This window comes from Homo sapiens, chromosome 17 (assembly GCF_000001405.40).
Source record: "Homo sapiens chromosome 17, GRCh38.p14 Primary Assembly".
In the NCBI taxonomy this organism is placed as follows: Eukaryota; Metazoa; Chordata; class Mammalia; order Primates; family Hominidae; genus Homo; species Homo sapiens.
This window is the reverse complement of record NC_000017.11, coordinates 22,397,947-22,423,217: the sequence shown is the minus strand read 5'-3', so window position 1 is coordinate 22,423,217 and position 25,271 is coordinate 22,397,947. Positions and strand designations below refer to the sequence as shown.

Genomic DNA, 25,271 nt, shown 5'->3' with positions numbered 1-25,271 from the left:
CCCAAATAATTTTCCAAAGTAGTTGTGCTATTTCACATTTCCACCAGCAGTGTATAAATGTTTCAGTTACTTCACATTCTCACCAACACTTGGTATTAACAGTCTTCTTAATTTTAGCCGTGCTGGTCGGTGTGTATTGGCTTCTCATTGTGGATCACATTTGTCTGATGGTTTATGAGGTTGGGCATTTTTATATGCTTTCTGGCCATTTGGATGTTCATTTGTTTTTCCTTACTTCCTTTTTCTTTTCTCTTTTTTAAAAATGAAGTTCCTATTCCTTTCTCTTCTTCATTTTTCTGTTGGATTCTTTATTTTATTTGTAGAAATCCTTCATGCACTCTGGACATGAGTCCTTTGCCTGTTATATTGTGACAAATATATTTCCCATTGGTGACTTATCTTTTCCCTCTCCTACTGAATTTCTTGAGGGATTCTTAATTTACTATCAACCAAAGTATTGAGATTCTCCTTTTGGGGTAGTTTTTTTTTCTGTTGAAGAAATCATTCCCTGCCTTCTGAGGAGCTTTTAAATCTACGTATGCCTACTAAACCCCACTGCTTTGATATATATTTTATGCTAGAAAATGAACAAGGCACTTTCATGATGTTATTGTCTATTTTGTGGGAAAATATCATCATCATCACTTTCCCAGGCCAGGACATGATATGTGTGCAGGATAATGCCATAGCTCCCCAACATCTGGAACTCTTCCTGCATTGGGGAGGGTGGGCCTGATGCCACAATGGGGTCAAGTGGGTGCTAATTCCCAACTCCACAGGTGCAGGGCTTGGAAAACAGAGGACAGCCAGGTCAGAGCTGTGGTCCTGCAATGGACTGAGGATATAGAAGAGTCTGTTTGTATTGCCATGGGGGTCCAGGGACTGCAGGAGGTGGGAGAGGAGCAATCAGAAGATATATCCTGTGTGAGGAAGAGCAGAGCACAAGGGATGAGGCCCCAAGAAAAGGGCAAGAAGGGAGGGACCTCTTGCTTAGCAGCTCAGTATTACAGGCATCTAGAGGTGAGGCACAGCCACTGGCTCCAAATGTACTATCTCTGACATTTGTTATTTTGGTGCAAGGACTGGGAGAAAGTTCTGCACTGTACAGAGCCTGCCTAGGAATGGTAGAGGATACCACAAAGCTTGTGGATGAGCAGTCAGGACTGTCCTGTGGGCAGGGGCTCCAGGGCACGTGAGCCACACTGGAGCTGTGGATAGGGCCAGGCCTCCCAGGAAGGGCCCACACCAGCCTTTCTCTCTCACTCTTTCTGAATCAAGAATGTTGAACACACAATGAAAAGTTCAACTGACAAAAAGAAAGTATTTGCTTGATGAGGTTAGAACTGGTATTATAAGTAGTTTTCCAATCTATATATTGTGACAGAAAGCAGATCAGTGGTTGCTTGGGGTGGAGCATGGCAGGAGAGGCAGGAGGAAGGGATCACAAAGGAGCACAAGAAAACCTATGGGGGATGGACATGCTCGCTGTCTTGATAACAGTGATGGTTTCACGGGTGCACAAGTCCTTCTATTATATGTCAGTCACCCCTCAGTGAGGCTGTTATGCATCCTCCCAACACACACACGTAGTTGCAATGAAATGGTTTAAGATACACTTCAGTTCCAAAAGTACACGCTCTCCAAGCCTGCCCATTTGGCTCTTCCAAGTGTCCCAGTCACGAGGGAGCAAGACCAACAATTGGCCTGACTCCAGCTGCAACATGGCTGCTGACACTACTTCAGGTTCAAAGTTCTGGGACTCCATGAAGCCCCAGCTTGAGGAGAGAGGCTGGCAGATGTACAGAGAAGGAAAGACTACCAACCACAGATCTGTCTTGCCCCTGACTACTACATACAGGAAATCACTGGAGCTTCTGACTTGAACTTTAAAATCTGTGGGCCCAAGACAGGAGATGTCCCTCCCAACCCCTCTCCCCTCATTCACGGGAGAAGTGGCAATTGAGAGTGGAGGAGAGGATTAAAATACTAAGGGAATGAAACACATCTGAGGGTCTTCAGTTCATTGCTGAGAATGGCTGTTGGAATGATAACCACGCACCTTAGAGAACAAGAATTGTGGGTAATTTTCCTTCCTGCAAACAGTATGTTTCTTTACTAGTTTCTTACCGCAGGAGGCTTTAACGCTCCATAGAATATCTTCAGTAATAAGGAACAAAACGAAAAATAAAAAACAATGGTAATTTTCACAGCTAACAGATTGCTATTAGCAAAGATTTTCAGCAAGGTGTAAAAGTCAGCAGGCTATATTCTTACCTAAATGATCCCTGCAGTCTATGAAGAGGTGCCTCAAAGGAAGCTAAGACACTGACCTGCCGTCACGGGACATTCCCGCCCTAGTCCGTGAGGCCTGAGCTGACCCTGTCCACTTCAGCTCCTCTGTGAAGTGATCGACTCTGGTGCTGATCACTTGTTCCCTCTGGTAATCGACAGCTCTTGCCAGGAAGCTGACCAAGGACATTGCTGAGGACCAGACAGGGGCAAACAGGCTCCCACCCTGGGACTATTAGCTCAGGGCTCTCACCATCTGAGCACCAGCTCCAGAGAAAAAGGAGAAAGAGTTGGTAATGTTACCGGAAGGTGTGGGGTCTTCAGTTCTTGTCTTCTTGAAGGAAAGAATTCAGCCAAGAAGTAATCAGTGACAGTGAAGCAGCTGCAGAGTTTATTTAAAGAGAGAGTACCCTCTAAAAGCCAAGTCAGAGCGGGCTGCTTGGAAAAAGAAACAGCGTTGATCGGCACTGGGGAAGCTCCCTTATGAGGGTCTTATATGATTATTCATGAAAGGGGTTGTGAAGGGGTGTTACTAGCAAACATGTTTTGGGTGGTCTCCTGGGTGCACATGCTGTATGGTCATACACGCTAGTACATATATCACACGTCTTAGTAATGTCTGAAATCTCCACCCAGGGGTGTGTTTTTTTTTTACCATTATAATGAGTAAATGTTACCTTCAGGGCAAGCCAAGTTGAAGTGTGCATGTTTGCTATTAGGGAAAGTCCCTACTGAAGTTATCTCCTGTCAGGGTCAGATAAGTCCCAGTTAGGACCAGAGAAGCCAAACCTCAAGTCCAGATGTGGACTTGGGTGACTGAGGGTCTGAGGAGTGAATTGTTTGCTTCACAGTAAAATCTAAAACATTAATGCAGTACGTGAGTCGATGCATCTTCAACACAGGAGTGTCCAGCCTGGAAAACCAGGGGCCACCCTAGGGAAAGACCCAATGACATTACAATCTTTAAATAGGAATGAGAGGAACAAGGCTGGTGGACATCTCCCTGAGGGCATTAGTTTCCAAATATTTGAGCAAGGCCTCCTTTGCAAATCTCGGTGATGGTTATCAAGATAGGAACAAGAGGTATCCAGCAACAGGTGTATTTTATAAAAATTAGTTATGTAAACATGCTTGTAAAAATTAAAACACCACAGCAATGTATTTGAAAAGTAAACATTTCTCCTTATTACACCTACTAGAGATAACTAGCGATGGCTAAACGAAAAGGTCGTGTGTGTTCTGTGTACACTGACTGCCTGAACCTTCCAAGTCTATTTGGCTTCTGATTTGGATAGGGAGAGTCAGGCACCAAGCTTGACTCAGGAGGGAGAGCACTATCCAAATGAATGTAGCTCCAGTATGAATAGCAAGAGTTTATATAGAAAGGGACTCACCTAAAAAGTTATCTGATTTTATTAGATTATTGAGCTTGATAGTAAAAGGTTGGATAAAAAGGGATAGCTGTAATAACACATACGACGAGAACACAAACTGCTTCTAATATTCATAAACGAGTAAGTATCTGAGACAGGTATCAATCAATTTAGAAGTTTATTTTGCCAAGATTAAGGACAAGTTGGAAGGAAAAAACACAGAATAATAGAAACAATCTGTGGTCTGTGCCTTTTTCCAAAAATGATGCTGAGGCTTCAATACTTAAAGGGGAAGAGTTTGCTGGAGGGGAAAGAGGAAGGGTATGGTCACATTACTGAATCCACACATTGCAAAAGAAAAGGATAAGGCAGGGGAATAGTCAATTTGGTATTCATCTTATGCTCAGTAAATCAGCACTTCACATAAGGTAAGATGAGGACAGAGCACCTACCTGTGGGAATATTTTACCTTCTATCTGGAGCTGTGTGCTTAAGAGCAAAAGGAAAGTCAGCTTCTCACATGACTCAGCTTTCAGCTTAACTTTCTCCTTTTGGCAGAGTGAATTGGGGTCCCAAGTTTCTATTTTCCTTTCACACATTTGAAACTAGACTTGATTTTGCTTAGAAATGTGACATTTATTTATACTTCTAAACAAAATCACGGCTAGTTATCAATTGTCCATTTTCAGAGAATGAGAAAGCCCAAGAGCTCATGACTCCTTCCCATTTCCTTGGGTTATGGATACCAGGACCCTGGGTTCTGCAGAGCCTGGGGACAGTGGATGAGAGAATGCTGTTTCTGAGCATGATATGGTTGCTGTCAGATCCCTGCTCCTAAACTTACTAGGGAGTGACTGGTCAACAAAAAGAGTCAAACTCTAAAATATTTGAAGAGATTTATTCTGAGCCAAATATAAGTGACCAATGGGCCATGACACAGCCCTCAGGAGACCCTGAGAACATGTGCACAAGATGGTCAGGGCACAGCCTAGTTTTACACATTTTAGGGAGACATGAGACATCAGTCAATACATGTAAGGTATATATTGTTTCAGTCTGGAAGTGCAGGACAACTCGAAGTGGGGACTTCCAGGTTATAGGTAGATTTTAAAATTTTCTGATTGGCAATTGGTTGAAAGAGTTATTATCAGTAGAAAGGAATGTCTGGGTTAAGATAAGGAGTTGGAGAAACCTAGATATTATCAGGCAGATAAAGCCTCCAGGTAGCAGGCTTCAGAGAAAATAGATGTTAAATATTTCTGATCAGACTCTTAGGTCTGATGTTGATGTCTTAAGGTCTGTGTTGATGTTAATGCTAGAGAAATATAATGAGGCATGTCCAATGCTCTCTTCCATCATGGCCTGAACAAGATTTTCAGTTTCAATCTGGAATTCCTATGGCCGAGAGGAGGGGTACATTCAGATGGTTGAAGGGCTTAGAATTTTATTTTTGGCTTACATTCTTCCATTTATGGCCAATATTTGCCAGCATCAGCATCAATGGCTATTATTTTTTTTCCCCTAGCACTGCTTGGGTGGCATATCTGCCTGCCCTGTGTCCATCCTGCCCTTCAGTGAGACTCTCTATGGTGGAGGGACTTGAAGTCAAATACTTATAGACAAGTAAGCGTTCTAGGAAAGACAGGAATGGACTCGGACAGGCATTCATTACCCCTTAAAAGATATATTTAAAGTAAAGAGCCAAAAACAAAAAGCCAATGGCGAGTTTACAAAAATTGACTTTTCTTTCACTTCTATGCATTGAGCTACTATAATCTTGGTTTTCATTACAGACTTACAGTGATTAACTATACAAAACATATACATTTTTCTAAAAAATAATTTTATATATCTAAATATATATATATCTGCAAAACTTATAACTGGGAGTATTATGCCCAGGAGGCTTGGTCATGAGGTATCTTTATCCTCTTAATAATTATTTTGTTTTAATTCCAGGAAGCAGGACATTTTTCATGGTTGGGGTGGATAAAAAGGTGCCACATAATAGCTGAGAAAGCAAAGTTCTTTGTTTTACAAGCTGTTTAGGCACCTGTGTACCCTCCTTGATTTGGAGTGTCTGAGCTAACTGTATCCCTCATAACCAGCCCTTACAATCTCATGCACCCATCTCCTCTGCAACAGTCTCTGGGCCTAGAGGGAGGGTCCTTGCATAGTCTTAGCAGCAGGACATTTGCAATGAAAAACAGATCGGGTCCAGTGGGATGCCAAATAATGGAGATTTGCATCTCTAACTTTCAGAATGCCATGATTCTGGTTTCCTTTGAAGTGAAACAAGGAGAGATAAATAACTTACTATTTTGACCATCAGAAGAGTACTTGTGTGTCAAAAGAGAAAAAATACGCTATTTCATTAGGTCACCAACTGAAAATATGAAGAAAAATGATAATCCTGTACTCATTAGAAGATTATTATAACTATGAAAACTTTCAGGATTCTCAGGATCATCTTGGCTATACGGGGTCTTCTTTGGTTCTGTATGAAATTTAAAGTAGATTTTTCTAATTTTGTGAAGAATGTCAGTGGTAGTTTGATGGGAATAGCACTGAATCTATAAATTACTTTGGGCAATATGGCTATTTTTATAGTATTGATTTTTCCTATCCATGGGGATGGAATCTTTTTCCATTTGTGTATGTCCTCTTATTTCCTTGAGCAGTGGTTTGTAGTTCTCCTTGAAGAGGTCTTTCACATCCCTTGTTAGCTGTATTTCTAGGTATTTTATTCATTTTTTTAGCAATTGTGAATGGGAGTTCATTCATTATTTGTCTCTCTACTTGTCTATTGTTGGTGTAAAGGAATGCTTGTGATTTTTGGACATTGATTTTATATCATGAGACTTTGCTGAAGTTGCTTATCAGTTTAAGGGGTTTTGGGGCTGAGATTATGGAGTTTTCTAAATATAGCAGCATATCATCTGCAATCAGAGGCAACTTGACTTCCTCTCTTCCTATATGAATACCCTTTATTTCTTCCTCTTGCCTGATTGCCCTTGCCAGAACTTCCAATACTATGTTGAATAGAAGTGGTGAGAGAGGGCTTCCTTGTCTTGTACCAGTTTTCAAAGGCAATGCTTACAGCTTTTGCCCATTGACTGTGATATTGGCTGTAGGGTTGTCATAAATAGCTCTTATTATTTTGAGATATGTTCCATCAATACCTAGTTTATTGAGAGTTTTTAACATGAAGTGGTGTGGAATTTTATCAAAGGCCTTTTCTGCACCTATTGAGATAATCACGTGGTTTTTGTCTTTGGTTCTGTTTATGTTGATGGATTATGTTTATTTATTTGTGCATGGTGGAACAGTCTTGCATCCCAGGGATGAAGCTGACTTGATTGTGGTAGATAAGTGTTTTGATATGCCGCTGAATTCGGTTTGCTAGTATTTTATTGAGGATTTGTGCATCGATGTTCATCAGGGATATTGGCCTGAAGTGTGTGTGTGTGTGTGTGTGTGTGTGTGTGTGTGTCTTCCTGATTCTGCTATCATGATGATGCTGGCTTCATAAAATGAGTTAGGGGGAAGTCACTCCTTTTCAATTGTTTGGAATAGCAAAAAGAACAAAGTTGGAGGCATCACACTACTTCAAACTATACTACAAGGCTACACTAACCAACACAGCATGGTACTTGTACCAAAACAGACATATACACTAATGAAACAGAACAAAGACCTCAGAAATAACACCACACATCTACATCCATATGATCTTCAACAAACCTGACAAAAAGAAGCAATGAAGAAAGAATCTCCTATTCAATAAATAGGGCTGGGAAAATTCACTGGCCATATGCAGAAAACTGAAACTGGAACCCTTCCTTAAACCTTAAACTTAAGACTTTAAACCTTAAACATAAGACTTAAATGTCAAGCCCCAAACCATAAAAACACTAGAAGAAAACCTGGGCAATACCATTCAGGACATAGGCATGAGCAAAGACTTCATGACAAAAATGCCAAAAGCAACTGCAACAGAAGCCAAGATTGACAAATGAGATCTAAGTAAACTAAAGAGCTTCTGCACAGCAAAAGAAACTATCATCAGAGTGAATAGGCAAACAACAGAATGGGAGAAAAATTTTGCAATCTACCCATCTGACAAAGGTCTAATAGCCAGAATTGACAAGGAAATTAAACAAATTCACAAGAAAAAAACAAATAACCCAATCAAAAAATGAGCAAAGAACATGAACAGACACTTCTCCAAAGAAGATATTTACATGGCCAACAAATATATAAAAAAAGCTCAACATCACTGATTATTTGAGAAATGCAAATCAAAACTACAATGAGATACCATCTAACACCAGTCGGATGGCAGTTATTAAAAAATCAAGAAACAGTAGAAGCTGACCAGGCTGTGGAGAAATAGGAATGCTTTTACACTGTTGGTGGGCATGTAAATTAGTTCAACCATTGTGGAAGACAGTATGACGATTCCTCAAGGATCTAAAACCAGAAATACCATTTGACCCAGCAGCCCCATTACTGGATATATACCCAAAATAATATAAATTATTCTACTCTAAAGACACATGCACACATATGTTTATTGCAGCACTATTTACAATAGCAAAGTCATGGAACTAGTCCAAATGCCCATCAAGGATAGACTGGATAAACAAAATGTAGTACATATACATCATGGAATACTATGCAGCCATAAAAGGAATGAGATCATGCCCTTTGCATGGACATTGATGAAGCTGGAAGCCATCATCCTTAGCAAACTAAAACAGGAACAGAAAACCAAACACCACATGTTCTCACTCATAAGTGGAAGTTGAACAATGAGAACACATGGACACAGGGAGCAGAAAAGCACACACCAGGGCCTGTTGGGGGGTGAGGGGTGAGGGGAGGGAACTTAAAGGATGGGTCAATAGGTATAGCAAACTACCATGGCACGTGTATACCTACTTAACAAACCTGCACATTCTGCACATGTATTCTGGAACTTAAAGGAAAATAAAATAAAATAAAAAAATTTTATGATTCAATTTGTACTCAATAAAATAAAAGCCAGAGCTGACATTTAGTAACAAGCATTACCCTTTTCCCTTGAAACAATCTGTAGGAGAAGTCATAGTGAGAACAATTTGTGTGAAAAATAAGTTTTAGGCTTATTATGGTTGGCTTGTGATATGGCTTGACTCTGTGTGCTCACCCAAATCTCATTTCAAATTGTCATCCCTCCTGGTGGGAGGTGATTGTATCATGGGAGTTGTTTCACCCATGCTGTTTTCATGATAGTGAGTTATGAAATCTGATGATTGTATAAGTGTTTGACATTTTATCCTTTACACACACACACACACAGTCTCTCCTGCCACCTTTTGAAGAAGGTGCCTACTTTCCTTTCTATCATAACTGTAAGTTTTCTGAGGCCTCCCCGGCTATGCAGAACTGTCAGTTAAACCTCTCTTGTTTATAAATTACCCAGTCTCAGGTAATATCTTTATAGCAGTGTGAGAAGGGACTAGTACAGCCTGAGTATTTGCTTAAAGTGCAGAAACAATTAATTGGTCATATAGACTCCTCTTAAGTTGGGTTTGTTGGGATTTACCTAAAATTAAGTTATTCTAGTCAAAGCCTGGGTAAAATAACCAGTGTCTCCATTTGTCCCATTTTACAATAAAAGATGTACTTAAGCAAATAACTATATTGTCACCTAATCAGAATACTCACAGCTTTCAAATTACGGATAACCTAGAGAAAAATAAATTTGCTCACAAAAACACACTTCACCCAATTTTTCTAAACTATAAATAACTCAAAATAAAAACATTTGCTTGACTCTTCTTTAATAAGAGCAGTGGCTTTCAAACACAATGTCATTTGTTCATCTTGGAACTGCTATCCACAAGCCAAACAGCTCCTGTTAGATAGGCACCGCCTATTAAGCACTGTAGAATATGTAGCAGTTCTTCACATAGTTAGAGTCAGTCCTATGGGAAAACAGAGGCTCTGCTTATGAGTATTATTCTCCTTGCGTTCCTCAGGTAGCAAGATGCTATATCAAAAGTATTTGGGTCCCCAGCAGGGATTTGGGCCAAAGGACTCAGGGCGTTTGGTTGATCTTCACCTTATTTGTCTCAACATTGCCCCAGGCAATATTATCTTCCTCATTATAACTTTTGCCTTTTGATTAACAAACATTTTCTATCTGGGGCAAATAATGAATAAGTATTCAAACATATCTATGATTCTTCTGGGGCAGGTCCTTGGATTTCCTTTTCCTTTCAATTTGTTTCTTATTTCCCTAATAATTTATCAAGCATCTTTAAGAGCCCTGAGGGACAGCAAATTTGATAAGGCTTCTCTACCATATGATTGTGCTGAAGCGATGTTACCCAGAGTGCCATTGAAAAAGGGGCCCTTTCAACCGGTAAATTTCTTATTGCATGAGTCCAAGCCACATTTTGAAAAGCCTGCTGGAGGAGTAAAGAGGTTTATGCAAAGTTCAATCCACCCCCAATCCTCCAATGCCCAGGTAGCCCTGACAGAACCTCCCCTGCATCCAGCTCCAGCCCCAGCCCAGTCCCATTGGATCCCTGACTTTCATTACAGCCAAAAGATTCAAGGAGTCAGTCCACCCATGAGCAGAGGGGAGGATGTTTCTCAAGAATGAGACAGGAAGTGCAGAGGAAATGCGACATGTCCCTGCCCTAGAAGACAAGGCCAGTCACAGTCACCTACTGCTCATTCTAGGCAATCCACTCACCCATGAGGTGAAACATGGAGACCAAGCTAGCTTCCCTGTCTGAGATACGTATGGAAGCCAAGAGCCCCAGGATCATCAACCCTGGCTAATCAAGCAGAAACAGGTTTGGAGGGAGAAACAATCATGACACGGATCTCCAGGAAGTGTCGCCCTGGAGGACTGGGAAGTGGTCTTTGTTGAAGACATTCAGACAGATCAAGAAACATCAAGGCCCCTCAGAAACAGGGGAGACAGAGCAAGAGGGAGGACAGAGCAGAGGCCAGAGCCCAGGCAGGATATAGCACCATGCCATCGGTACAGGCATAAGGGGAGGGGTGCCAAACTGGTGACTTGTCCAGAGAGACCAGTGTTCCAGTGACAGGGATTGTTGCCATCTCCCATTCCTAGCTTCTTCTTCAAGATTCTATCGTTGTGTGGCTTCGTTCTCAGAGAAGAGCTGTGAAAAGATACAACAATCTTCTTTGACTTTGGTTGGCTCCACCCCTGCAGAAAAATGACCTCCTGTGAGCATTTTGTCCTTGGCTGGAGTGTGGTCATATTGATCCTAGAAAAGAGGCTGCTCAGGATGGGGATGAGATTTCAATTGCCCCGGGACTGACGCATCTCCTCACGTGGTCGAGGTCTCCACGAACCCAAAGTGGAAACGCCGAGAAAACGATAGACAGCCGGCCACATGACCCAGGCAGAGACCCAGAAAGAGGCTCAACAAAGACCAGACGACATGCAAAAATAGCTTCTTTGGCGCACAAGGCACATTCGTCCAAACAAACACACGCACAAGGACACAAACAAACCGACAGAGAGAGGGAAAGAGTAAGAGACAGAGAGAGAGGAGAGAATAGGAGACACACACACACACACACACACACAGAAACAAAAACACACAGTCATACAGCACTGGCACAGAAACACACCACACCCCAAGGCAACCTCTGAGGCAGCAGGGTTCTGCTCCACATGAGAACGACCCTCAGGTGAGAGAGCAGCCCATAGGCATGCAAGCAGACCGGTCCTTGAGATCACGGGGGCACGACTTCTGGGGAGACTCACCCGAACACCGTCCTGGCAGGCCTGAGGCTGGCATGCCATGCCGCTTCCCCCGGACTTCGCCTGTGGTTTCGTCATCCTGGTCGGCCCTTTGCGACTCCTGGCAGCCAGAGATGTTCCTGTCGACCCCGTGGAGAGGTCAGGCCGGAGCCTCGGAGCCCCGACACCCAAGCACTGCCACGGAGGGCTCCTACTTTGCCAAGCCTCAGGGACGGGTTTCTAAGACAACCGTGGGAATAACTGTGACTGGAGCATGCGCCAGGGCCTTGCGCATGCGCATTGGAGGGGCCGAGTCGCACTCCGCTCCTGGCAGTCAGGCTGCGACCCCTTTAAACAATAGCGGCTACGCAGAGGAAGGGCGGCTCGCATTGCAGCCCTGGCGGTGGCTGGATCAGGGGTCCAGTACGGGGCAGCGTGGGAGAGGAGGCCACAGGCGTCCCAAGGCCAAACCCCCAGGAGTCCGGTCTTGAGGACCTCCTTAAGCCGACTTCCGGGGTGGAGGTGGAGCTTCTGGGCGCCTGCTGGGGTCCCAGAACTCCTCTTGAGATCCGACTTTGGACCCCTCCGGGTGAGAAAGGATGGGCTCACCACATCTGCTAGGAAGGCAGGGCCTCGCTGCATCCCAGAATGATCCCATGGGCCCCAAGGCGAGGTGTCAGCTGAAAATTCACTGATGCCTCCCTTCTCCTTTGAAAAAAGAAAAGCCCTGGTGCACTTGAAAGCTGATACCACTTTCCAGGACACGTGAACACAGGGACAGGGGAAATTCCGAGGTGGAGCCAATGAGACCATACGTGGCATGGTGTACCGCAGAGCAGATGGCATAAATGTGTGTCACCGAGGGCGTATGGGGCGATGGCGAAACAAAAAATGGTGTCCAGGCATGTGGCCGGCGGAAGCGGGGCACAAGTGACCTTTCCATCAATGCGAAGGAAAATCAAAGAACACCTGGGATGCAGGAGGGGGCCAAAAGATTCAGGGACTCAGTACACCCAGGAGCAGAGGACAGCATGTCCCTAAAGGATGAGACAGGAAGTGCAGAAGAAATGCGGCACCTCTCCTGTCCTAGAAGACAAGACCAGTCACTGTCGCCTACAACTAATTCTAGAAAATCCACCCACAAATGAGGTGAAACATGGAGACCGAGGAAGCTTCCCTGGCTGAGACACGTATGGAAGACAAGAGCTCCAGGGTCACCAGACCTAACCAACCCAGCAGAAACAGGTTTGGAGAGAGAAACAGTCATGACACCGATTTCCAGGAAGAGAGTCCCTGATGGACTGGGAAGTGATCTTTGTAGAAGATATTCAGCCAGGCCAAGAGGCACCTAGGCCGCTCAGAAACAGGGGAGACAGAGCAAGAGGGAGGACAGAGAGGAGGCCAGAGCCCAGGTAGGATACAGCGCCGTGCCACCGCCACGGGCATAACAGGAGGGGTGCGAAGTGCGTGGCTTGTCCAGAGAGGCCAGCATTCCAGGGACACAGATTGTTGCAGTCTCCCATTCACGGCTTCCTCTTCAAGATTGTGTCGTTCTGTGGCTTCATTTCGCAGAGAAGAGGCGTGGAAAGGTACAACCATCTTCTTGGACGTGGGTCTGCTCCTCTCCTGCCGGACAATGTGCTACCGTGGGGCATTTGTCCTGGGCTGGAGTGTGGTCCTCTTGATCCTAGAAAAGAGGACGCTCATGATGGGGATGAGACTTCCATTGCTCCCGGCCGACGCATCCCCTCACGTGATCGAGGATTTCGCAAACCCAAAGTGGAACCGCCGTGAAAACGATGGACAGCTGGACAGGACCCAGGGAGAGACGCAGAAAGAAACCCACCAAAGACCGGCAGACAAGCAAGAAATCCCTTTCTGACGCACAAGGCACATTCGTTCAAAGACACACACGCACACTGGCACACACACACACACACACACAGAGGAAAAGAAGCACACAGAGGGTGAGAGACAGAGAGAGAAGGGAGAATGGGAGACACACCCCCACACACAGTCCTACCGCGGTGGCCGAGAAATACATGCCCCCAGGCAACCCCTGCGGCTGCCGGGTTCTGCTCCTGACGGGAACGACCCTCCGATGACAGAACAGCCCTCGGGCACGCAGGCGGACCTGTCCTCGAGATCACGGGGGCACGACTTCTCGGGAGACTCACCCGAACACCGTCCTGGCAGGCCTGAGGCTGGGATGCCACGCTGCTTCCACCGGACTCCGCCTGTGGTTTCCTCATCCTGCTCAGCCCCTTGCGACTCCTGGCAGCCAGAGACGTTCCTGTGGACCCCGTGGAGAGGTCAGGCCGAAGCCTCGGAGGCCCGACACCCAAGCGCTGCCACGGAGGGGTCCCGCGTTGCCAAGGGACTGGTTCCTAAGACAACCGTGAGAACCACTATGACGCGAAAAGCGGCGAGCCACTCGAGCATGCGCATTGGCTGGGTCGACTCGCATGGGCTCCTGGCCCTCAGGCAAGCTGTGTCAGCTTTAAATAACCGCAGGTGCGGGGCGGCAGGGGGCGCGCCTGCGCAGCCGCGGCTGCGGCTGGATCCGGGGTACAGTTTCGGGGCGCCTGTGACAAGGGGCCGCGGGTGTCCCCGGGCAAAGCCCCCAGGAATCCCGTATTCAGGACCTCCTTGAGCCAACTTCCGCCGATGGACGGGGAGCTTCAGGGCGCCTGCTGGGTTCTCAGGACTCCTCTTCAGATGCCATTTTGGACCACTCCGGGTGAGAAAGGAGGGGCTCACCACATTTGCTGAGGCAGGCAGGGCCTGGCTGCAGCAGAGAATGATCCCATGGCCCTCAAGGCCTGCTGTCAGTGGAAAATTCACTGAATCGTGAGCCCTCTGCCTCCCTCCTCCTTTGAAACAGCAGTGAACTGGCCCGCTTCTGAAAGCCCTGGGGCTCCTGCAAGCCGATACCGCTTTCCAGGACACGTGCAGACAGGGACGGGGCGAATGCCAGGTGGTGACAATGCGGTCACGCCTGGCACTGGCATATACCAGAGCAGATGGCGTGAATGTATGTCACCGGAGGCATATGGGGCAAGGGAGAAACCAACATTGCTGTCCAGGAATGTGCCCGGTGGAAAGGGGGATCAACTGGCCTTTCCCTGAGTGCCAAGGGAACTCAAAGAAGACCTGGGAACATGGACGGGGCCTGTGCCTCAGTCCAAGCCACATTTTGAAATGCCTGCCAGAGGACAACAGGGGTTTCTGCAACAGTCACCCCACCCCCAACCATCCACCACCCAGCTAGCCCTGACACAACCTCCACTGCACGCAGCCCCAGCCCCAGTCCCAGCGCAGTCCCTCTGTTTCCTGACATTCGTTACAGCCAAAAGATCCAGGGAGTCTGTCCACCTGTGAGCGGAGGAGAGGATGTCCCTCAAGAGTGAGACAGGAAGCGCAGGGGAAATGCACTTGTCCTAGAAGACAAGGCCAGTCTCGCCGGCCTAGCGCTCGCTCATCCTAGGCAATCCACCCACCCATGAGGTGAAACACGGAGACCGAGGAAGCTTCCCTGTCTGAGACACGTATGGAAGCCAAGAGCCCCAGGGTCATCAGACCTGCGCAATCCAGCAGAAACAGGCTTGGAGAGAGAAACAGTCATGACACGGATCTCCAGGAAGTGTCTCCCTGATGGACGGCGAAGTGATCTTCGTAGAAGATATTCAGCCAGACCGAGAGGCATCTAGGCCGCTCAGAAACAGGGGAGACAGAGCAAGAGGGACGACAGAGCAGAGGCCATAGCCCAGGCAGGATACAGCGCCGTGCCACCGCCACGGGCATAAGAGGAGGGGTGCGAAGCGGGTGGCTTGTCCAGAGTGGCCAGCGTTCCAGGGATGGGGCTTGTTGCCGTCTCCCATTCCAGGCTTCCTCTTCAAGACTGTGTGGTGGTGTGGCTTCATTTCGCAGAGAAGGGGCGTGGAAAGGTAAAACCATCTTCTTGGACGTGGGTCTGCTCCTCTCCTGCCGGACAATGTGCTACCGTGGGGCTTTTGTCCTGGGCTGGAGTGTGGTCCTCTCGATCCTAGAAAAGAGGCCGCTCAGGATGGGGATGAGACTTCCATTGCTCCGGGCCCGATGCATCCCCTCACGTTATCGAGGCCTGCACAGACCCAAAGTGCAACCGCCGCGAAGACGATGGACAGCTGGCCGCAGGACCCAGGGAGAGACGCAGAAAGAGGCTCACCAAAGACCGGTCCACATAAAAGACATCCCTTTTTGACGCACAGGGCACATTCGTCCAAAGACACACACACACACACACACACACACACACACACACACACACAGAGGGAAAGAAGCACACAGAGGGTGAGAGACAGAGAGAGAAGGGAGAATGGGAGACACAGCCCCAGCCCCAGTCCCAGCGCAGTCCCTTTGTTTCCTGACATTCGTTACAGCCAAAAGATCCAGGGAGTCTGTCCACCTGTGAGCGGAGGAGAGGATGTCCCTCAAGAGTGAGACAGGAAGCGCAGGGGAAATGCACTTGTCCTAGAAGACAAGGCCAGTCTCGCCGGCCTAGCGCTCGCTCATCCTAGGCAATCCACCCACCCATGAGGTGAAACACGGAGACCGAGGAAGCTTCCCTGTCTGAGACACGTATGGAAGCCAAGAGCCCCAGGGTCATCAGACCTGCGCAATCCAGCAGAAACAGGCTTGGAGAGAGAAACAGTCATGACACGGATCTCCAGGAAGTGTCTCCCTGATGGACGGGGAAGTGATCTTCGTAGAAGATATTCAGCCAGACCGAGAGGCATCTAGGCCGCTCAGAAACAGGGGAGACAGAGCAAGAGGGACGACAGAGCAGAGGCCATAGCCCAGGCAGGATACAGCGCCGTGCCACCGCCACGGGCATAAGAGGAGGGGTGCGAAGCGGGTGGCTTGTCCAGAGAGGCCAGCGTTCCAGGGACGGGGCTTGTTGCCGTCTCCCATTCCAGGCTTCCTCTTCAAGACTGTGTGGTGGTGTGGCTTCATTTCGCAGAGAAGGGGCGTGGAAAGGTAAAACCATCTTCTTGGACGTGGGTCTGCTCCTCTCCTGCCGGACAATGTGCTACCGTGGGGCTTTTGTCCTGGGCTGCAGTGTGGTCCTCTCGATCCTAGAAAAGAGGCCGCTCAGGATGGGGATGAGACTTCCATTGCTCCGGGCCCGATGCATCCCCTCACGTTATCGAGGCCTGCACAGACCCAAAGTGGAACCGCCGCGAAGACGATGGACAGCTGGCCGCAGGACCCAGGGAGAGACGCAGAAAGAGGCTCACCAAAGACCGGTCGACATAAAAGACATCCCTTTTTGACGCACAGGGCACATTCGTCAAAAGACACACACACACACACACAAACACACACACACACACACACAGAGGGAAAGAAGCACACAGAGGGTGAGAGACAGAGAGAGAAGGGAGAATGGGAGACACAGCCCCACACACAGTCCTACCGCGGTGGCCGAGCAATACACGCCCCCAGGCAACCCCTGCGGCTGCCGGGTTCTGCTCTGGAGGGGAACAACCCTCGGCTGAGAGAACAGCCCTCGGGCACGCAGGCGGACCTGTCCTCGAGATCACGGGGGCACGACTTCTCGGGAGACTCACCCGAACACCGTCCTGGCAGGCCTGAGGCTGGGATGCCACGCTGCTTCCCCCGGACTCCGCCTGTGGTTTCCTCATCCTGCTCGGCCCCTTGCGACTCCTGGCAGCCGGAGACGTTCCTGTGGACCCCGTGGAGAGGTCAGGCCGGAGCCTCGGAGGCCCGACACCCAAGCGCTGCCACGGAGGGCCCGATGCATCCCCTCACGTTATCGAGGCCTGCACAGACCCAAAGTGGAACCGCCGCGAAGACGATGGACAGCTGGCCGCAGGACCCAGGGAGAGACGCAGAAAGAGGCTCACCAAAGACCGGTCGACATAAAAGACATCCCTTTTTGACGCACAGGGCACATTCGTCAAAAGACACACACACACACACACAAACACACACACACACACACACAGAGGGAAAGAAGCACACAGAGGGTGAGAGACAGAGAGAGAAGGGAGAATGGGAGACACAGCCCCACACACAGTCCTACCGCGGTGGCCGAGCAATACACGCCCCCAGGCAACCCCTGCGGCTGCCGGGTTCTGCTCTGGAGGGGAACAACCCTCGGCTGAGAGAACAGCCCTCGGGCACGCAGGCGGACCTGTCCTCGAGATCACGGGGGCACGACTTCTCGGGAGACTCACCCGAACACCGTCCTGGCAGGCCTGAGGCTGGGATGCCACGCTGCTTCCCCCGGACTCCGCCTGTGGTTTCCTCATCCTGCTCGGCCCCTTGCGACTCCTGGCAGCCGGAGACGTTCCTGTGGACCCCGTGGAGAGGTCAGGCCGGAGCCTCGGAGGCCCGACACCCAAGCGCTGCCACGGAGGGCTCCCGCGTTGCCAAGCCTCGGGGACTGGTTCCTAAGACAACCGTGGGAAGCACTGTGAAGCAAAAAGCGGCGCACGCCTCGCGCATGCGCTTTGGCTGGGCCGACTCGCGCTTGGCTCCTGGCAGTCAGGCAGGCTGCGTCCCCTTTAAATACGGGCGGCTGCGCGGCGGCAGGGGGCGCGCCTGCTGCAGCCGCGGCTGCGGCTGGATCCGGGGTCCAGTTTGGGGCCGCGTGGGAGAGGGGGCCACGGGTGTCCCAGGGCCGAGCCCCCAGGAGTCCCGTCTTCAGGACCTCCTTGAGCCGACTTCCACCGATGGACGGGGAGCTTCAGGGCGCCTGCTGGGTTCTCAGGACTCCTCTTCAGATGTGATTTTGGACCACTCTGGGCGAGAAAGGATGGGCTCACCACATCTGCTGAGGCAGGCAGGGCCTCGCTGCAGCACAGAATGATCCCATGGCCCTCAAGGCCTGCTGTCAGCGGAAAATTCACTGATCCGTGAGCCCTCTGCCTCCCTCCTCCTTTGAAAGAGCGGTGGCCTGGCCCGCTTCTAAAAGCCCTGGGGCTCCTGCAAGCCGACACCGCTTTCCAGGACACGTGCAGACAGGGACGGGGCGAATCCCAGGTGGAGACAATGCGATCACGCCTGGCACTGGCGTATACCAGAGCAGATGGCGTGAATGTATGTCACCGGAGGCATGTGGGGCGAGGGCGAAAGCAACAGTGGTGCCCAGGCATGCGCCCGGTAGAAAGGGGATCAAGTGGCCTTTCCCTGAGTGCCAAGGGAACACAAAGAAGACCTGGGAACCTGGACGGGGCTTGTGCCTCAGCCAAGCCACATGTTGAAATGCCTGCCAGAGGACCACAGAGGTTTCTGCAACAGTCACCCCACCCCCAACCCTCCACCACCCAGCTAGCCCTGACGCAACCTCCCCTGCACGCAGCCCCAGCGCCAGTCCCAGCGCAGTCCCTTTTGTTTCCTGACATTCGTTACAGCCAAAAGATCCAGGGAGTCTGTCCACCTGTGAGCGGAGGAGAGGATGTCCCTCAAGAGTGAGACAGGAAAGCGCAGGGGAAATGCACTTTGTCCTATAAGACAAAGGCCAGTCTCGCCGGCCTAGCGCTCGCTCATCCTAGGCAATGCACGCCCCCAGGCAACCCCTGCGGCTGCCGGGTTCTGCTCTGGAGAGGAACAACCCTCGGCTGAGAGAACAGCCCTCGGGCACGCAGGCGGACCTGTCCTCGAGATCACGGGGGCACGACTTCTCGGGAGACTCACCCGAACACCGTCCTGGCAGGCCTGAGGCTGGGATGCCACGCTGCTTCCCCCGGACTCCGCCTGTGGTTTCCTCATCCTGCTCGGCCCCTTGCGACTCCTGGCAGCCGGAGACGTTCCTGTGGACCCCGTGGAGAGGTCAGGCCGGAGCCTCGGAGGCCCGACACCCAAGCGCTGCCACGGAGGGCTCCCGCGTTGCCAAGCCTCGGGGACTGGTTCCTAAGACAACCGTGGGAAGCACTGTGAAGCAAAAAGCGGCGCGCGCCTCGCGCATGCGCTTTGGCTGGGCCGACTCGCGCTTGGCTCCTGGCAGTCAGGCAGGCTGCGTCCCCTTTAAATACGGGCGGCTGCGCGGCGGCAGGGGGCGCGCCTGCTGCAGCCGCGGCTGCGGCTGGATCCGGGGTCCAGTTTGGGGCCGCGTGGGAGAGGGGGCCACGGGTGTCCCAGGGCCGAGCCCCCAGGAGTCCCGTCTTCAGGACCTCCTTGAGCCGACTTCCACCGATGGACGGGGAGCTTCAGGGCGCCTGCTGGGTTCTCAGGACTCCTCTTCAGATGCGATTTTGGACCACTCTGGGCGAGAAAGGATGGGCTCACCACATCTGCTGAGGCAGGCAGGGCCTCGCTGCAGCACAGAATGATCCCATGGCCCTCAAGGCCTGCTGTCAGCGGAAAATTCACTGATCCGTGAGCCCTCTGCCTCCCTCCTCCTTTGAAAGAGCGGTGGCCTGGCCCGCTTCTAAAAGCCCTGGGGCTCCTGCAAGCCGACACCGCTTTCCAGGACACGTGCAGACAGGGACGGGGCGAATCCCAGGTGGAGACAATGCGATCACGCCTGGCACTGGCGTATACCAGAGCAGATGGCGTGAATGTATGTCACCGGAGGCATGTGGGGCGAGGGCGAAAGCAACAGTGGTGCCCAGGCATGCGCCCGGTAGAAAGGGGATCAAGTGGCCTTTCCCTGAGTGCCAAGGGAACACAAAGAAGACCTGGGAACCTGGACGGGGCTTGTGCCTCAGCCAAGCCACATGTTGAAATGCCTGCCAGAGGACCACAGAGGTTTCTGCAACAGTCACCCCACCCCCAACCCTCCACCACCCAGCTAGCCCTGACGCAACCTCCCCTGCACGCAGCCCCAGCCCCAGTCCCAGCGCAGTCCCTTTGTTTCCTGACATTCGTTACAGCCAAAAGATCCAGGGAGTCTGTCCACCTGTGAGCGGAGGAGAGGATGTCCCTCAAGAGTGAGACAGGAAGCGCAGGGGAAATGCACTTGTCCTAGAAGACAAGGCCAGTCTCGCCGGCCTAGCGCTCGCTCATCCTAGGCAATCCACCCACCCATGAGGTGAAACACGGAGACCGAGGAAGCTTCCCTGTCTGAGACACGTATGGAAGCCAAGAGCCCCAGGGTCATCAGACCTGCGCAATCCAGCAGAAACAGGCTTGGAGAGAGAAACAGTCATGACACGGATCTCCAGGAAGTGTCTCCCTGATGGACGGGGAAGTGATCTTCGTAGAAGATATTCAGCCAGACCGAGAGGCATCTAGGCCGCTCAGAAACAGGGGAGACAGAGCAAGAGGGACGACAGAGCAGAGGCCATAGCCCAGGCAGGATACAGCGCCGTGCCACCGCCACGGGCATAAGAGGAGGGGTGCGAAGCGGGTGGCTTGTCCAGAGAGGCCAGCGTTCCAGGGACGGGGCTTGTTGCCGTCTCCCATTCCAGGCTTCCTCTTCAAGACTGTGTGGTGGTGTGGCTTCATTTCGCAGAGAAGGGGCGTGGAAAGGTAAAACCATCTTCTTGGACGTGGGTCTGCTCCTCTCCTGCCGGACAATGTGCTACCGTGGGGCTTTTGTCCTGGGCTGCAGTGTGGTCCTCTCGATCCTAGAAAAGAGGCCGCTCAGGATGGGGATGAGACTTCCACTGCTCCGGGCCCGATGCATCCCCTCACGTTATCGAGGCCTGCACAGACCCAAAGTGGAACCGCCGCGAAGACGATGGACAGCTGGCCGCAGGACCCAGGGAGAGACGCAGAAAGAGGCTCACCAAAGACCGGTCCACATAAAAGACATCCCTTTTTGACGCACAGGGCACATTCGTCCAAAGACACACACACACACACACACACACACACACACACACACACACACACACACAGAGGGAAAGAAGCACACAGAGGGTGAGAGACAGAGAGAGAAAGGGAGAATGGGAGACACAGCCCCACACACAGTCCTACCGCGGTGGCCGAGAAATGCACGCCCCCGGACTCCGCCTGTGGTTTCCTCATCCTGCTCGGCCCCTTGTGACTCCTGGCAGCCGGAGACGTTCCTGTGGACCCCGTGGAGAGGTCAGGCCGGAGCCTCGGAGGCCCGACACCCAGGCGCCGCCACGGAGGGCTCCCGCGTTGCCAAGCCTCGGGGACTGGTTCCTAAGACAACCGTGGGAAGCACTGTGAAGCAAAAAGCGGCGCGCGCCTCGCGCATGCGCTTTGGCTGGGCCGACTCGCGCTTGGCTCCTGGCAGTCAGGCAGGCTGCGTCCCCTTTAAATACGGGCGGCTGCGCGGCGGCAGGGGGCGCGCCTGCTGCAGCCGCGGCTGCGGCTGGATCCGGGGTCCAGTTTGGGGCCGCGTGGGAGAGGGGGCCACGGGTGTCCCAGGGCCGAGCCCCCAGGAGTCCCGTCTTCAGGACCTCCTTGAGCCGACTTCCACCGATGGACGGGGAGCTTCAGGGCGCCTGCTGGGTTCTCAGGACTCCTCTTCAGATGCGATTTTGGACCACTCTGGGCGAGAAAGGATGGGCTCACCACATCTGCTGAGGCAGGCAGGGCCTCGCTGCAGCACAGAATGATCCCATGGCCCTCAAGGCCTGCTGTCAGCGGAAAATTCACTGATCCGTGAGCCCTCTGCCTCCCTCCTCCTTTGAAAGAGCGGTGGCCTGGCCCGCTTCTAAAAGCCCTGGGGCTCCTGCAAGCCGACACCGCTTTCCAGGACACGTGCAGACAGGGACGGGGCGAATCCCAGGTGGAGACAATGCGATCACGCCTGGCACTGGCGTATACCAGAGCAGATGGCGTGAATGTATGTCACCGGAGGCATGTGGGGCGAGGGCGAAAGCAACAGTGGTGCCCAGGCATGCGCCCGGTAGAAAGGGGATCAAGTGGCCTTTCCCTGAGTGCCAAGGGAACACAAAGAAGACCTGGGAACCTGGACGGGGCTTGTGCCTCAGCCAAGCCACATGTTGAAATGCCTGCCAGAGGACCACAGAGGTTTCTGCAACAGTCACCCCACCCCCAACCCTCCACCACCCAGCTAGCCCTGACGCAACCTCCCCTGCACGCAGCCCCAGCCCCAGTCCCAGCGCAGTCCCTTTGTTTCCTGACATTCGTTACAGCCAAAAGATCCAGGGAGTCTGTCCACCTGTGAGCGGAGGAGAGGATGTCCCTCAAGAGTGAGACAGGAAGCGCAGGGGAAATGCACTTGTCCTAGAAGACAAGGCCAGTCTCGCCGGCCTAGCGCTCGCTCATCCTAGGCAATCCACCCACCCATGAGGTGAAACACGGAGACCGAGGAAGCTTCCCTGTCTGAGACACGTATGGAAGCCAAGAATTCGTCGAAATTCACTGATCCGTGAGCCCTCTGCCTCCCTCCTCCTTTGAAAGAGCGGTGGCCTGGCCCGCTTCTAAAAGCCCTGGGGCTCCTGCAAGCCGACACCGCTTTCCAGGACACGTGCAGACAGGGACGGGGCGAATCCCAGGTGGAGACAATGCGATCACGCCTGGCACTGGCGTATACCAGAGCAGATGGCGTGAATGTATGTCACCGGAGGCATGTGGGGCGAGGGCGAAAGCAACAGTGGTGCCCAGGCATGCGCCCGGTAGAAAGGGGATCAAGTGGCCTTTCCCTGAGTGCCAAGGGAACACAAAGAAGACCTGGGAACCTGGACGGGGCTTGTGCCTCAGCCAAGCCACATGTTGAAATGCCTGCCAGAGGACCACAGAGGTTTCTGCAACAGTCACCCCACCCCCAACCCTCCACCACCCAGCTAGCCCTGACGCAACCTCCCCTGCACGCAGCCCCAGCCCCAGTCCCAGCGCAGTCCCTTTGTTTCCTGACATTCGTTACAGCCAAAAGATCCAGGGAGTCTGTCCACCTGTGAGCGGAGGAGAGGATGTCCCTCAAGAGTGAGACAGGAAGCGCAGGGGAAATGCACTTGTCCTAGAAGACAAGGCCAGTCTCGCCGGCCTAGCGCTCGCTCATCCTAGGCAATCCACCCACCCATGAGGTGAAACACGGAGACCGAGGAAGCTTCCCTGTCTGAGACACGTATGGAAGCCAAGAGCCCCAGGGTCATCAGACCTGCGCAATCCAGCAGAAACAGGCTTGGAGAGAGAAACAGTCATGACACGGATCTCCAGGAAGTGTCTCCCTGATGGACGGGGAAGTGATCTTCGTAGAAGATATTCAGCCAGACCGAGAGGCATCTAGGCCGCTCAGAAACAGGGGAGACAGAGCAAGAGGACAGTCCTACCGCGGTGCCCGAGAACACACGCCCCCAGGCAACCCCTGCGGCTGCCGGGTTCTGCTCTGGAGGGGAACAACCCTCGGCTGAGAGAACAGCCCTCGGGCACGCAGGCGGACCTGTCCTCGAGATCACGGGGGCACGACTTCTCGGGAGACTCACCCGAACACCGTCCTGGCAGGCCTGAGGCTGGGATGCCACGCTGCTTCCCCCGGACTCCGCCTGTGGTTTCCTCATCCTGCTCGGCCCCTTGTGACTCCTGGCAGCCGGAGACGTTCCTGTGGACCCCGTGGAGAGGTCAGGCCGGAGCCTCGGAGGCCCGACACCCAAGCGCCGCCACGGAGGGCTCCCGCGTTGCCAAGCCTCGGGGACTGGTTCCTAAGACAACCGTGGGAAGCACTGTGAAGCAAAAAGCGGCGCGCGCCTCGCGCATGCGCTTTGGCTGGGCCGACTCGCGCTTGGCTCCTGGCAGTCAGGCAGGCTGCGTCCCCTTTAAATACGGGCGGCTGCGCGGCGGCAGGGGGCGCGCCTGCTGCAGCCGCGGCTGCGGCTGGATCCGGGGTCCAGTTTGGGGCCGCGTGGGAGAGGGGGCCACGGGTGTCCCAGGGCCGAGCCCCCAGGAGTCCCGTCTTCAGGACCTCCTTGAGCCGACTTCCACCGATGGACGGGGAGCTTCAGGGCGCCTGCTGGGTTCTCAGGACTCCTCTTCAGATGCGATTTTGGACCACTCTGGGCGAGAAAGGATGGGCTCACCACATCTGCTGAGGCAGGCAGGGCCTCGCTGCAGCACAGAATGATCCCATGGCCCTCAAGGCCTGCTGTCAGCGGAAAATTCACTGATCCGTGAGCCCTCTGCCTCCCTCCTCCTTTGAAAGAGCGGTGGCCTGGCCCGCTTCTAAAAGCCCTGGGGCTCCTGCAAGCTGACACCGCTTTCCAGGACACGTGCAGACAGGGACGGGGCGAATCCCAGGTGGAGACAATGCGATCACGCCTGGCACTGGCGTATACCAGAGCAGATGGCGTGAATGTATGTCACCGGAGGCATGTGGGGCGAGGGCGAAAGCAACAGTGGTGCCCAGGCATGCGCCCGGTAGAAAGGGGATCAAGTGGCCTTTCCCTGAGTGCCAAGGGAACACAAAGAAGACCTGGGAACCTGGACGGGGCTTGTGCCTCAGCCAAGCCACATGTTGAAATGCCTGCCAGAGGACCACAGAGGTTTCTGCAACAGTCACCCCACCCCCAACCCTCCACCACCCAGCTAGCCCTGACGCAACCTCCCCTGCACGCAGCCCCAGCCCCAGTCCCAGCGCAGTCCCTTTGTTTCCTGACATTCGTTACAGCCAAAAGATCCAGGGAGTCTGTCCACCTGTGAGCGGAGGAGAGGATGTCCCTCAAGAGTGAGACAGGAAGCGCAGGGAAATGCACTTGTCCTAGAAGACAAGGCCAGTCTCGCCGGCCTAGCGCTCGCTCATCCTAGGCAATCCACCCACCCATGAGGTGAAACACGGAGACCGAGGAAGCTTCCCTGTCTGAGACACGTATGGAAGCCAAGAGCCCCCAGGGTCATCAGACCTGCGCAATCCAGCAGAAACAGGCTTGGAGAGAGAAACAGTCATGACACGG

At 52.1% G+C, this 25,271-nt stretch overlaps 1 long non-coding RNA gene across 1 annotated transcript, besides 1 other annotated feature; it reads right to left on the bottom strand.

Moving 5' to 3' along the window:
* Positions 1-9,476: 9,476 nt before the first annotated feature.
* On the bottom strand, positions 9,477-17,199 carry FLJ36000 (uncharacterized). Its single transcript, NR_027084.1, has 2 exons — positions 17,049-17,199; positions 9,477-13,123 (listed from the first exon to the last, which is right to left on the bottom strand). It is a non-coding gene; the product is annotated as an uncharacterized FLJ36000 (long non-coding RNA).
* Positions 20,796-21,077: a silencer, noted in NCBI's record as "fragment chr17:21904629-21904910 (GRCh37/hg19 assembly coordinates)". NCBI's record gives its function as "represses an EF-1alpha promoter that drives an FKBP-Casp9 reporter gene in an ReSE screen in HepG2 liver carcinoma cells {active_cell/tissue: HepG2}" and the evidence as "EXISTENCE:reporter gene assay evidence [ECO:0000049][PMID:32094911]".